The following is a 14,495-nucleotide window of genomic DNA, read 5'->3' as shown; positions in this document are numbered from 1 at the left end:
TGTTCTGCTCATTCTTTATGCACTTTGTATATAATCTTATATACTCTGTGAGTAGCACGGGTAAAACTATACATTTTTTACTTAATGTAATATCCTAAACATATTTTATATAGCAATACAATCTTGAAAAATCATGCCTTCAGTGGTATATTTATCCAGCTGGCGTGCCGTAATTTATCCATGCCTGTGTTTTGTGAATTTTTATTGTTCATTTTTAATTTTTCGTTAAATAATACTGTAGTGAATATCTCTATACACATACTTTGGATTATTTCCTTAGGATAAATTCCCTGTGTTCAGATTATTTTTGAAAAGGATGGAAAAGCAGCTTTAAAACAGAGTTGTAAATATTTTCCGGCCCATTGTGGAGTTCTAGTTTCACAGTGGCTTTCCTGGCTGGGTTAGGTTTAAATTAAGCAGGTCATTTGGTCTTCAGATATCTGAACTCACTATGTCTGGTTTATGCCCAGCTCTGATCTGCTCTGGTTTGTAGGAGTAAGAACATAACTCTTCCCTCAACCCTGAAGTTCATCTGTCAGATATTTTGAGTACTCATGAGTACATTTCTAACTTACAAGTACACTGCTTTGACGCAGGCTCTTCCTTTGAAGATGTAGCTCATGAACACCACTTTCAAAAAGCTATCTCTGATCCCAGGACAAGATAGAGCCCCTATTCTGTGATTTTCCAACGTAGCTGTCCCAATACTTTTCATCAGTTGTGTGATGTCAGCCTGCCCTCTGTCTTCTGTCTCTATATGGGACCTACCACATAGTAGGCGTTCAATAAACTTAAATTGAGTGAAGATCATACCGGTCATTGTGATCAACTCTCTGCGGATATCACCTTGAGGGAGAGGATTTCAGAACAGGAAGAATCTTTGGGGCCTGAGCATTTGGGTGAATGGTATTACCATTTTAGAGATGGCGAATGCCACAGGAGGAAGGATTTTGACAGGCATACAGGGTGGGATCCAGAGATTTCTACATATTAAGTGTGTTGTTGCTGGGGTTTTTTTGTTTTTGTTTGTTTTAATTGACAGATTCTCACTCTGTTGCCCAGCCTAGAGTGCAATGGTGCAATCTTGGCTCACCACAACCTCCGCCTCCTAGGTTCAAGCGATTCTCTTGCCTCAGCCTCCCAAGTAGCTGGGACTACAGACGCCTGCCACCACGCCCAGCTAATTTTTGTATTTTTAGTCATGATGGAGTTTTACCATATTGGCCAGGCTGGTCTCGACCTCCTGACCTCAAGTGATTTGCCCACCTTGGCCTCCCAAAGTGCTGGGATTACAGGCATGAGCCACCATGCCCAGTCCCATTTCTGTTGTTTTAAAAGCCAAGGTGTTGCTGTGTTGCCCAGAATGGAATGCAGTGATACAATCATACTTCACTATAACCTTGAACTCTTAGGCTCAAGCAATCCTCATGCCCCCAGCTTCAGGAGTAGCTAAGACCACAGGCACATGCCATCATGCCCAGCTAACCTTTTCAATTTTTTGTAGTGACAGGTTCTGTGTATGTTGCCCAGGCATGTCTCAAACTCCTGGTCTCAAGTGATCCTCCCGCCTCCCAGAGTGCCGGGATTGTGGGTGTGAGCTACCATGCCTGGCCTACACGTGTAAACTTTGAGATGCATTTTAGATATCCAAGTGGAATGTTGAGAGGTCAGGTAGAGATTAGAGACCAGAGCTCCAGGGGGAGGTTGAAGCTGGAGATAAACAGAGGGGAGGGCTCAGGATCGTTGTTAAAGACTTGATATAGACCAAAGCTCAGTGAGGACAGTGACTGAGTCTATTTATTCACCTCTATATACCTAGGACAAGCATTCAGTTATGTATATCTAATCAATAAATTAATCTGTGGCTATTGTTGCACAGTGATTGTGATTTAGTACAAAACGAAATCACTAACTGATAATTTGCTTTATTGTTCAAAACAAAAAAAATTGAAATCTGGTATGTAGTTTCTTAGAAATAATTTGCTAATAGGGCTGGGCACAGTGGTGCATACCTGTAATCACAGCACTTTGAGAGGCTGAGGTGGGCCCAGGAGTTCAAGACCAGCCTGGGCAACATGACGAAACCCCATATCTACCAAAAAACAAACAAAAAATAGCCTGACATGGTGGCGCACACCTGTCCCAGCTACCCAGGAGGCTGAGGTGGGAGGATCATCTGAGCCTGGGAGGTTGAGGCTGAAGTGAGACATGATCGTGCCACTGAACTCCAGCCTGGGTGACAGAAAAAAAAAGGAAAAGAAAAGCTTTTATAATAAAGCTTGACACTGAAAAGAATCTTAGAGGCCATTTAATGCAAAGGTTCAAAGTGTGCAGGCAAGGAATGGTAAGGGGAGTGGACAGTTTATTGCAAAGGGTGAGCCCTTGTTTACAGGGGCCACATATTGACAATAAACTGAGTAACAATGTCTTAAATGTAATGGCACCACTCTTGTTAAAGTATATGAAGATGTTGTTGCAATTAATAAAGAGAACATTTTTGTTAATTTCTTGTTATTATGTATTTTCATAACCAGTAGGCTCCAAAAAGACAGCTATCTTTGGAGCAGGGAAAAGCTAGTGCTTATACATTTAAAAAAAAAAAAGAAAGTCTTCATATTGAAAAGAGGAGGAAACACTGATCTAGTCCAAGCTCTTTGTTTTACTGATGCAGAAAGGGAAAGGGAAGGGGATTGAGTAACTTGCATAAATTACACAGTTAACCAACTAACAGCTGAACCTAGATAGACCCTCGGTTTCTTGACCCTGGGCCCAGAGCTCTTCTTACCATCCATGTGACTGTTTATCTTTCAGAACCAACTTTCTTCAGGCCAATAAATGAGGTATTGCCTTAGAACAGAAATCATTTATATTTGGCCATGGAATTATATTAATGATTTATTTTTATAATGATTAATTATGAGAATTATAATTAGACTTTGCTTTAGCTAGTTTCAAAATCCATTTATAATCCCCTAAGCACAGGCCATTTGGCAATGCAAAAGACTAAGTAGCCCAAGAAGGGTTGATGAAAGTATGATTTTTAATTTGCAGTAGATAATTTACCTAATGAGTACTACTTATATAGAAAATTAAGACTTGGTTTTAGTTGCAAACATCATTTTAAGGAAGCTTAGCAGCCTACGTGGAATTTCAGGAGTGGACACATCTGAATATCCACAATTCTTGGTTTATATTCAGGCTGCACAACTTTAGTACCTATATGATGTTGGCCATGCTCACTCACTCCTCCAACCCTCAGTTTACACATCTGCAAAATGAGATACTTCTTTTCCAGTGTTGCTGTGGACATTAGCAGGCACACACATTTGGTGCTTGCACAAATGAGGTCCTAAGAGGTGGGTCCCTCTCATCTTACGTGAGGAAACTGAAGCAGATTAGAAATGACCCAAGGAAACCACTCCGAGTTCAGTCTGGAGCCCACTCCCCTAGGTTTTAATCATCCCCCAACTCAGTCCCTATCTGCTGAGGTTCCTGGATCCAGACGGTTCTTACCAAGGAACTGTCTGTCCCCACCACATGGATGGTTTTCCTGGCAGAGGTGTGCCCTGTGAGGGGGTCACTGCTCCTGGGGTTGGCATCGTGAGGCTGAGCCTGCAGGCTGCACAAGTATGTTCCACTGAGAGGCTGCCCTGGTGACTCCATTACTCACGCATCCCTGCCACACAGTGCAGCTGGGCCGTGGCCCCAGCACAGGGTTCATTTACATAGCTGCACAACAGGAAGCAGTCTAGTGTTTAGAGCTGCCCTGGCCCACTGAGAGCAAATTGTTTCAGGTGCTGTGGTGTGGGTTCTGGAACTGTGGGCTGTGCCTTTGGCGTCCACGTTAGCATCAGGAAGCAGTAGCCTTCTACTGCAACATTCTCCCTGCCTGCTGCTTGGTTCGGGGGTTGGGATTTTTGTTTTGCTTTGGTTGTTGTACACTCTCACGCTTGGCAGGCACAACCGGAAGAAGAGGTGGGCGTTGTGTCAGGCTGGGAGGGAGTGCCTTTGTGGAGCCAGGGTTCCTAATGAACAGACTCCTAGTTCTTCTCCCACAGTTCCTGCAAGTGAAATGGCAGATGTATGAGTCACTTCATAAGATGGGAACAGGAAGACATCCTGTTGATGCCAAGCCATTTTCAGTTCAGTGATGAGAATCTACCCCCCGCAAGAAAGTGTGTTTGTATCTTCCTCCTTTCCCCAGTGCAGAGGGGGTCAGCACCTGGCTCTTTCCCTTGTGAGAACTCCTCCACTTGGTTTAGCGCCCAGGAAATCAGCCCTGTCTTTCATTTGCATCTGTTATGTTATCAGAAGATCCTCTTTGCCAAAGATACTTTCTGTCTGAACTATTTTTAAAAAAATATTTTCCCTTGTTTTTTCCTTCTTTAGAATAATATTGTACTCTGTGATGGTTTAGGATTTTCTTTCATGGAAGAATTTTTTTATGTTTTTCTCACAGGAGCTTCACTGTTGTTAGTGAAGATCACTCAGAAATTATAGTATTTACAGTGATTCTCTGCCCCTTTTAATTGAATTCTCATAGTTCCTTTCTTAAATTATTTGGTATTCTTTATAATCATTATAAGAGGTCACATTTATTGAATGTTTGGAGGCAGGCACAATTTTAAGCACTTTACATATGCATTTCATCCTCAGATAGTTCCATGAGATGTAGAGACTGTTGCCACTCCCATTTTTGCAGATGAGGACGCAGGCTCCAATTAAGCAACTCCAAAAGTCACACAGTTAAATGGCAAGAACCAGAACTTAAGCCCTGTTCCTAATAACTCCCTTTGCCAGCATTCACTCAAAGTGTGATCAGCAGAACAATGATCTCATGAGATGTTCCTCGGAAAATATTTTTATGTGCAAATAATTTGGGGAAATGCTGCAAGCCACAAGCCTCTTGCCAGATCATAAATGTATCTTAGTGCAGGAAAGACCCTGAGAAGTCTTGCGTGAAAGAAGTCTGCTTATCATTGTGTGAACTAGGGCTTTCCAAAATACATGGCATGGAACCCATTTCAATATATACCTATTAAATTGTAATACATCTGAGGCCAGGCGCGGTGGCTCATGCCTGTAATCCCAACATTTTGGAAGGCCAAGGAGGGTGGATCACCTGAGGTCAGGAGTTTGAGACCAGCCTGACCAACAAGATGGAACCCCATCTCTACTAAAAAAAATACAAAATTAGCCAGGCGTGGTGATGCATGCCTGTAATCCCAGCTACTCTGGAGGCTGAAGCAGGAGAATTGCTTGAAGTCAGGAGGCAGAGGTTACAGTGAGCCGAGATCACGCCATTGCACTACAACCTGGGTGACAGAGTGAGACGCTGTCTCAAAAAAGAAAATAAAAAGAATAAATAAATAAAAATTGTAATACATTTTAAGAAACACCATACTAGTCTAAGAAAGCAACTAGAGCCAGACCCTGTAGTGTGCCTGTAGTCCTAGCTACTCAGGAGGCTGAAGCTGGAGGATTGCTGGAGCTCAGGAGTTCAAGGCTGCAGTAAGCTACGATCCTGCAACTGTACTCCAGCCTGGGTGACAGAGCAAGGCCCCATCTCTACAAATCATAAAGAAGGCAACATAATGTGATGGCTAGATACAAGGGCTTTGGAGCCAGAGAGTACGTAGGTTCAAGTCCCATATCTGCTACTCCCTAGGTAAGTTATTTAGCTTCCTGTGCTTCACTTCCCCCATCTGTGTAGTGGGGAAAATATAGCACTCTTGCATAGGGTGACTGTGAGGGGTAAATTAGTGCGTCTAAAGGACCTGGAACACCGTTGTGCACATACAGAAGTAGTCAGTGTTCTAAATGTAGCAGAAGGAGTCAAAACATTTACCACTGTGGGGTCAGATCACAGCCAAAATGCTGTTTCCCCAGTCTTCAGAAAACCTATCAAAGAAGAAGCATGCCCTCACCCTCCTTTCCTCTAGCACTCTCTCTAGCTGCCCTGTGCTCTCTCTGCCTCTCACCATCTGCTTGTACTAGATAGCAGCCCAGACCTGGGCTCAGGTCTAGGCAGTAGGTCTCTGCCCTGCCCTTGAGTCAGGAATAACACACACTCCCGCTGGGACACAGGACAGCTATCAGGGTTAGCCACACACTGTGGGTGGCCCCGGCAGAATCTGCAAAAAGAACATTCTGGTGAGAAAGGAACTCAAGTTTCCTGCATTTGAGCAAGGCAGCTGCCTGTGCAAACCGTTGGCCCTAGATTTCCAGAAGGCAAAACTATCTTCAAGCATTGCACACTCACTGAACTTGCCACTGCCCCATTTCACCTGAGACTATCCTCCAAGGAGAATGGGTGCTGTATGAGGGGCCTTACGATTCTGCAGGCTCATCTTCTGGGCTGATCTCTCAGTACACAGCCTGCCTGGGCTATTTGTTGGAAAGTCCTGCAACAGGCAGATAACATTTGGTTGGGTTTTTCTCTTTCCCCTCCCCTGTGTGTTCTGAAGTTGGTCCTGCAATGACTCCCAGGAAGGTTTGGGGGAAGTCCACTGGGGAGAAGGAAAGAAATTGCAGAAATTTACAAATTTTCAAAATTGACTTTAGGTATTGTTTCATGTTGCCCTTTTTGGTTTTTTTCCTATAAATTTTAAGAATTTCAAAATGAAAAATTAAAATTATAAAAATACACTAACCCTCTGTATGGGCAAGGGTGGTTACTTGTGATATGTTTATTATTGAGTGAAAAATGCAATTGCAGAACCATATGCAAATATGATTCCATTTGTTTAAAAGATGCATGCACATCATATACGTGCACGTGTATATGATTGTATATTTGCAAAGGCCAGAAGAGGATATGGAAGTTTGAAAGAAAAAGACTATATTGACAATAGTTACCCCTTTAGAGTGAAATTTGAAGGCAAGAGTTTTAACTTTGTATTCTATACACATGCATATAGTTTGAATTTTCAACATTTTTTTCATTTAAAAAAAGAAGAAGAAAAGGCAAACACCCCAAACCAGCTCCAAAAATAGGGCTAGATTAAATACTGGTGGCTTGTGATACATGTTGTTGCCTAACTGACTGGAGGGCTTTGCAGTAAGAGGGAAGGAAACTCAGATCAGAAAATGGGCTGATTCCAGTCACAGTCAGCTCTGCACCATGCACACTAAACTGGGCTGTGCAGTGTGTGGCTTGGGAGCCTGTGCAGTTGCAAGTGGTGCTAAGTTTTGCTTTTCCTTTCCCACGCCCTCCCTCGGGTAAGCCACACCAGCTGCTCAGATCCTCCAAGGTTCAGCTTCCCATGTATTGCCCTTGGCCATGATAAAGCGCTTAATCACTCAGGCCTGGACCAAATGGAGGGGCCCACCCCAAGCACAACTGCCAGGAGGGCAGTAGCTATCACTGGTCACCCCTGCGGAAACTTGCTGCCCCTACAAAGGCCTTGAGATGAGTGGAGAGAGCCTCGTCTGAGGGTCAGGAACCCGGCTCCTTTCCCTAGTCCTGGGGGACCTTGGGCAAGTCATTAAATCTCCTTTTGCCTCAGTTTCCTCTTATGCTAGCCAGACAAAGTGATGAGGTGTGATAATAGACATGAAAGAGCTTCAAAAGCAAAGGCAGTGTTATACAAAGAAAACAAGCAGTGTGAACATTATTAGCTGTAGTGAGCTATGGGACCTGCCACTCGATTCCTGAACTGACTTCCCTCCCAATGGAGTGTTTTGTTCTTTCTTGATTTGGAGGCAGAGCCCCTTTCTTTGCAGTATTTAAAGTACTTAGTCCCCTCTTTTAAAATAAGAAACCCAAGGGCCTGAAAGGTTGAATGGTCTGTCTCTTTTCCCCACCTTCCAGATCCCATGGGAAGTCAGGGAACAAGGCCAAGGGTTAGGCTGGACTTTCTGATTTCATGTTCTAGGTGCTAAGCATTAAACAGGCCTCTCTTGATAATAATAGTCGCTTTATACTGGGGGTCCCCCGATAGTCAGTTCTTTTGAGAACATAGGATGTGGGACAATATTCCTCACGTACACTTCATATAGCATCTTAAGTAACTTTAAACATTCTCCTTTATGACTGCATTTTTTTCCTCTAGATGTCTGTCATTCAGAATAGTGAACACTTAGGCATAGACATAGAATCTAAAGGCTGAACGGAATACCTGAATTCATCCAGCTTATTTATATTACTCCTGTGTGTTTTTTCTTTTGCACCTTCCCACCTTCTTTCCTTATTCATTCATAAATGATTTTAAGTGGACATTGCATATTCATTAAGTAAATATCTATTGAATGCCACCGCATGTAAGACAGCATGCTCGCACTGAAACCATTTTTGTCTTCCATTAGGCCAAGTCAAGTTGGGGTGGAGAATATAAAAAAATAAGCATACAAAATAACCGTATTATGAAGCAAAAGGCAGTGAAATACCACAGAGGCAGAACAATGCATTTTACACCCTCGAAGGAGGAAGAGATCATCTTAATCCCTCTGAAATACTAAGGCACATATCTGATCATATCATGCCCCGCTTTAAATTTTTCAGTAGCTTTCAGTTGCCTCCAGCATAAAATTCAAAATCCAGAGCCTGAAAGCTAACCTTCTGATTCCAGTCTACACCCTTCCAGATCTTCATGGTGCCTCTGCTTCGGGTGAACCAAACTGCCTGCCCTTTCCTGCACATGCTCATGGCTTTCACAACACTTGCCTTTGTCCCTCACTTAGAATGCACTTTCCTTCTAGCTCCAGATCCTGCAGGGCAGTTCCACCTCCTCCGTGAAGCCTGCTGGAGTTTCCCCCAGCCAAAAGGAATCACTCTCCTCTGAACTCTCCTTGGCCTTATCTCTCTCTCTTCTTTCTGCTTAAAGTTACATGTGGATTTTATGTGTGCTTAAAGTTACACCTGTTTTCCTTCTACTGGATAGAAAGCTCCTTGAGAGCGGGGATTAGTATTTGTACATCCTCAGGGCCTACCAGAGCATCATAGCAGTCCACTGATAAATAGCTGTGACAGGGAGCGAAGGGGTAATTTTTGGTTGGGGAATCCAGAAACTTGGTGGTAGAGGTGACCTGACAGGCCCTAGAAGCATGGGTAGAATCTCAAGAGGGGGAAGTCAGAGAGGGGAGGGCTTTCTGGGGGGAAAAAATAAAAACAAAATAGGAATAAGTCACAGAGTTAAATTCCAGTGACCATTTGAGGAGCAGCAAGGAGAGTGATTGCTCTTTACTTTTTTGGTTTGCGGGGCCCCTTTGAAAAGCTGACAGATGTTCTGGATGAATGCTATGGAATACCATGAATGCCTCTCCCCAGAAAATGTATATTACCACAACATTTCATAGGAATATCTGGACCCCTTAGGGGTAAAGAATCCCCACAGTAAAAAGAGAAAAAGTACTCTGAAACAATAGATTACAGCCGTATTGAAAAGGGTTCCTGGGCCCCAGTGAAAGTTGCATTTAGTGCAACAGTTAATTGGGAATATTTGATGAATTGTTTGTTTTAAGCTTTTTATTGAAGTAAAATATTATACAGAAAAGTACCCAAATCATAATGATTTAACCATAAGTGAAATACACAGCCAGCACTTAGAAGCTGCTTTGTATTTCCTTTCCCACCTTTCCCTTCAAAGGAAACCAATATCCCAACTTCTAACAGCATAGATCAGTTTTGCCCGTTTTTAGTACCTAATGTAAATAGACTTATATGGTATGTACTCCTTTTTTTGGCGGGGGTCGGTGCGGGGGCGGTTGGGGGGTGGCGTCTTGCTCTGTTGACCAGGCTGGAGTGCAATGGCATGATCTCAGCTCACTGCAACCTCCGCCTCCTCCTGGGTTCAAGTGTTTTCTCATGCCTCAGCCTCCCGAGTAGCTGGAACTACAGATGTGCACCACCATGCCCAGCTAATTTTTTGTATTTTTAGTAGAGATGGAGTTTCGCCATGTTGGCGAGGCTGGTCTCGGACTCCTGGCCTCATGTAATCTGCCTGCCTTGACCTTGTAAAGTTCTGGGATTACAGGCGTAAGTCACCACACCCAGTCTCCTTTTTCACTCTTTTACATTTGGCTTCTTTCACTCAATTTTATGTTTGCGAGACTCATCCATATTATGTGTTTTTAAAGGTTGTTCATTGCCATTTGCTATATAATATTCTATTGAGTGACTCATTGTGTTCTCATTTTAGTCATTTGGGCAGTTTCCATTTGAATAGTGCTGCTGTGAACATTCCAATACCTGGTCTTTTGGTGAAAATAGGTACACATTTCTGTTGGGAATACACCTAGGACTAGAATGGCAATACCTAAGTCAGTACTGCCATAATTTACATTCCCACCAACCAGTTGTTGATTTTTGAGGAGGATAATATCATTAGAGCTGAATTTTAGGAAGATACATCTGGCTGTGGTATCTATGGTAGCTTGCAGCAGCAATTTCAAATTATCTCAGGAAGCCCTGGGAATCCACGGAGCCCCCTTGGAGGCTGCCACTGGGGAGGGAGAATGGAAAGCCAATTAGTAGTAGTGCTCTGAGCACCCCTTTCCCACACAACCTCCAACAGAGCAGGCTGGCTCATACCTGTTTAATTTGCTTTTGCCAACAGTCTGATGGATTAAAAGCCTTAGAATAGAGCACAAGGGAAACCAAGAAAACCAAGGCCATTGCCATCATCTCCCAACACATATCAAGGGAGGGCCTGAGTGAAAGGTTGATGCAGGGGACTCGGAAGGGAGGTGCTGATTAGAAAATAGAACCAATAGGGCTAATCACCTCTGGTTGCGAGTGGGCAAAGGTGGTGGTCTCAGAAACAGAACTAAAGTTTTGAGTCTAGATAACTGTAATAAAAGCTATTTTATTAGCAGAAAGAGAGAGAAGCTGAGTCCAAAGAACTGGCCTCCTGTGTAGAGGAAGGGCACTTTGACTTTTTCAGTTCCAGGACCTGGCAGGCCGTCTGGATGAAAGGATGGGGTCTCACAGACAGGTCCCCAGGACCATAGATAGATCTAAGAGTCCTCTGCAAGCCCTTGGAGGTGGATGAGAGGAGAGATGACAAAGTGAGGAAAAAACATGCACTCGGGCAAAATCTTCAAGGACAACTGAGTTGAGAGCACTCAGAGCAGGAAAGATGTCAGCCCGGAACATGGGGCAGCACCTGTCAGAAATGTGAAGAACGTGCCCAAGGGAGGGCCAGGATCTGAAATGAGAGCAGTCCAGGGTAGCAGTATCAGTGCCAAAAGATGGACTTGTTCAAAGAGTTCTTCAGCATTATCTAGAATCATGAAATTTCACAGAGGTACCTCTTAACTGTCACTTATGTTCCAGGTTTTCTGTGTATTTCTCTTTGAACTACCAACAGTGGTGCCTTTGCACATGGTAACTCAACCAGAAAACTTGCTGTCATACCCTTCCCCAAACCATTCTGGCTAAAGGAGGGGTTTCTGTGTGGGGGGGCCTATTTTCTTGAAACATTCATTAACACTATTTTCTCTCCTGAATGTGTTTCTGCTTTAGAGCTCCCTTGGTAAAGAAAGCTGTCCTGCCCTGCCTCTCTCCCATAAGCTGGTCCCCAATTGTGAAGTCTCCTGGGGCTTCAGAAGCTGCCAACTGCTGACCCGTCTCCCTTCCCCGTGTGCATATTTCTGTCAGGCACTAGATGCAGCTGTTGTGCCACCTCTAAGGTTCACCCTAGTGACATTTACAGTCCCCGTATTGATCATTATGATAACATATAAGTATCAAAAGCTTAAATTGGTGGCTTGAGTAGTTCTGAAGAGCAAGCAAGGGAGGGCTATCCAGAGAGAAGCAAACAAGGGGTGCAGAATATCTCTGTTGTTCTCCTTTGTTGGGGACGAGGAAGCTGAGACCCAGAAAAAGAAGTGACTCGAACAAGGCACCAGACAGAGCAATCAGGGAGACCATGCATTGTGACTGACAGTTCTGCTGTGTTCTAGTCCCATGGCTCTTAACTAGGAGTGCAGCTCACACTCATCCAGAGCTTTTCCAGAGTGCACTTTTGCCAAGTCCTACCCTGATACTCTGACTCTGGAGGTACGGGGTGAGGCTTGCACCTGGATGCATGAAAAGAGCTGCCCAGGTGATTCTGAAAGGCAGCCCTGTTAGGGATCCATCTTCTGGTGGCTTTGTGATTTCTGTCTTTCATTTTGCCCTACCTCTTAAGTGCAGGTATGATCTGCTTCTAAGAAAATGTCATTAAATGGTTCTGTTTAAAAGGGGAAAAACAATATTTTCCTCTGTTTAAGGTCCAGGGAATTATTAGAAGTGAAAATACACTAAAAAGAGGAGAAGCAACTGATAGGGCACTAAGAAACAGGATTCTTAATGAGGCAAAAGGTTCTGTTTTTTCCAATTAACTGCAAAAAAACTTATCACATAAATTTGCATGCTAAATTCAACAGGTTCATGCAAGACCACAAGTAGAAATGCAAATAAAATTAAGTAATTAATTAGCCCTATCTAATATAGATGGTATGAGAAAGCGCCTTGTAAATTGCTATCTTTTGATGGCATTATTATTATAGCAGGCTTACCACATTAGAAATACAATACCAGATTTCTACATTGGGTAAAGGCAGAAGGGACATACAAAGATGTGGCAGCATCTACATGGGACACATAGGTATGTTTTCCCAGAATTCAGCTGGGAATCGTTTTCAGTTATAAAGCCCTCCAGCTCATGAAGGCACATGCATCCAGAGATCATGCGAATGCCGGATCTGCTCATTTGTAAATGCTGACACTGACAGGTAATGGTTGTTTATAAGAATTATATGCATGTATTTATTCAATCTACCAAAATCAATCTTATAATTTCTACATGTAATATAAACACATGTCATTTATTTTGACTTACATTTTGCATAAAAGTGTTTCAAAGAATCTCACACACTTGTGAAAACATTCCAAGAACAGACTTTGTATAGAATTTGCTTCAACTTTCTGAAACTCTTATTTGGTCACAGACAACTAAATACTGGTCTCCTGTGATCTCTCCCAGGAGTTTAATCCCTGGACCCATTGAGTGCTAGAAAAGTTTAATTAACTTTGCAATTAAATAAGTAAGTAAATAAAAGGCATAATATTGTTGTATTACCTGTTAGGATTTGCTTTAAAGTGTATATTATGCCCAGTGCCACTCATAAGATGAATTACCCTTGGACGCAGCCCTATTTCCCTCCACTTTAAGTAATTGACCTGCACAGGCAGATTTAAGCAATGGAGGCACTTGGCGCACTTCTTTCTTTCCAAAGCTTGCAGGGTCACATGTATAATTTCCAGTATTTGTCCTTAATACACCAAGAACAGACATCAGAAGAGGAGCGGCTTTTGAAACCAAAGGTAGTGGGTAGCCTGAAACCAAAGGTAGTGGGTATCCTAAAACCAAAGTCTATATCACCCTCCCTTTCACAAGTACAAGAATGATGAGAACACATGCACTAGTAATGTACTTTGGGAACTTAAGTAGAGTTATACTCAGAACACACAAGATGTTGTGCAGAAATGTTATATTTTGATTTAGAGATGTGCATTACAGTTCCTAATTGATATTTAACTAGAAAAAAGCTAAACAATTAGTTTCTCTGACTTAACCTTTTCATTCAATAGATAATACATTTGGGAAAGTCTTAGGAGGAATCTTTTTGTAATGTGACATCATCTCATTTGTTTCATAAATTCTGGCTTTCACACATTGGGTTCAAGCCCTTATCACTCAACTAAAGCACTGCCACAGATTTCTGTGTCATCATTTCACTGGATGAAGTGTTTATTGAGTTCTCACTCTGTGCCCAACCCAAGGCATATGTTGTTCCTGTGTTTCCTGAATTATGAAAAAGAATGACAAAGCTGTCACTTCCTGCCAAGACCATCCATGTGACTCATGATAAATCAGCACATACTTATTCTTTGTGTATTGCATATGGAAGATATAAAGCACAATATAATATGAGGTGCCCACCATCAGATAGAGGATTCAACTTAAAGACTCTCATGGGTGAAGTAGATGTCAATATTTGTGAAAAGTCTGCTGACTATAGTTTTAAAAAGCCAATGCTTGGGACCCATGGCCTGGTCAGTTACTGATATACCAAAAGAAGCAGAATATTTCAAATAGGTCTGGCCCAAGAAACCTGAGGCTGAAATTAGCCGTGGAAGTTCTTTTAGGGGGATTACAGACAGGAATCCTCCTACTCCATTCCACTTCATGCTCTCATTTTGTGATATTCTTAAATTTGAGTGAGTAAAACTTAACAAGCAAGTTGTTTATAGTAACATGAGTATTTAAATTGGTGTCATCTTTTCATTTGTTGTAAGTGATGCTCCGTCATGTTTTGTTTGACTCAACCACATATGTTAAAAGTTCTGTACCTATTTAAAGAAAAATTTTAATGAACTTGAAATAATATTTCTGAGAAATTTTATGTCACTCCTTAAGATGAACTGGAGACATTCTGAAATACAAAACTCAGTGAACTAAAGTATAAACGTACTGTATGGGTGCCATGTTATGTAAATTGTATTGATG

General features: G+C 42.4%; 1 protein-coding gene across 4 annotated transcripts in view, besides 2 other annotated features; it reads left to right on the top strand.

The window, feature by feature from the left end:
• The window catches only part of GNG12 (G protein subunit gamma 12), a 131,993-nt gene that overhangs the window by 93,254 nt on the left and 24,244 nt on the right, over window positions 1–14,495 (top strand). The gene's annotated exons all lie outside the window — the stretch shown is intronic.
• Window positions 3,989–4,068: an enhancer, noted in NCBI's record as "active region_1183". NCBI's record gives its function as "activates an Ori minimal core promoter by ATAC-STARR-seq in GM12878 lymphoblastoid cells {active_cell/tissue: GM12878}" and the evidence as "EXISTENCE:reporter gene assay evidence [ECO:0000049][PMID:35858748]".
• Window positions 6,045–6,164: a silencer, noted in NCBI's record as "silent region_986". NCBI's record gives its function as "represses an Ori minimal core promoter by ATAC-STARR-seq in GM12878 lymphoblastoid cells {active_cell/tissue: GM12878}" and the evidence as "EXISTENCE:reporter gene assay evidence [ECO:0000049][PMID:35858748]".

Source organism: Homo sapiens, chromosome 1 (genome assembly GCF_000001405.40).
Source record: "Homo sapiens chromosome 1, GRCh38.p14 Primary Assembly".
NCBI classification, from domain to species: Eukaryota; Metazoa; Chordata; class Mammalia; order Primates; family Hominidae; genus Homo; species Homo sapiens.
The sequence above is the reverse complement of the archived record's forward strand: the minus strand, read 5'-3'. Positions and strand labels throughout refer to the sequence as shown.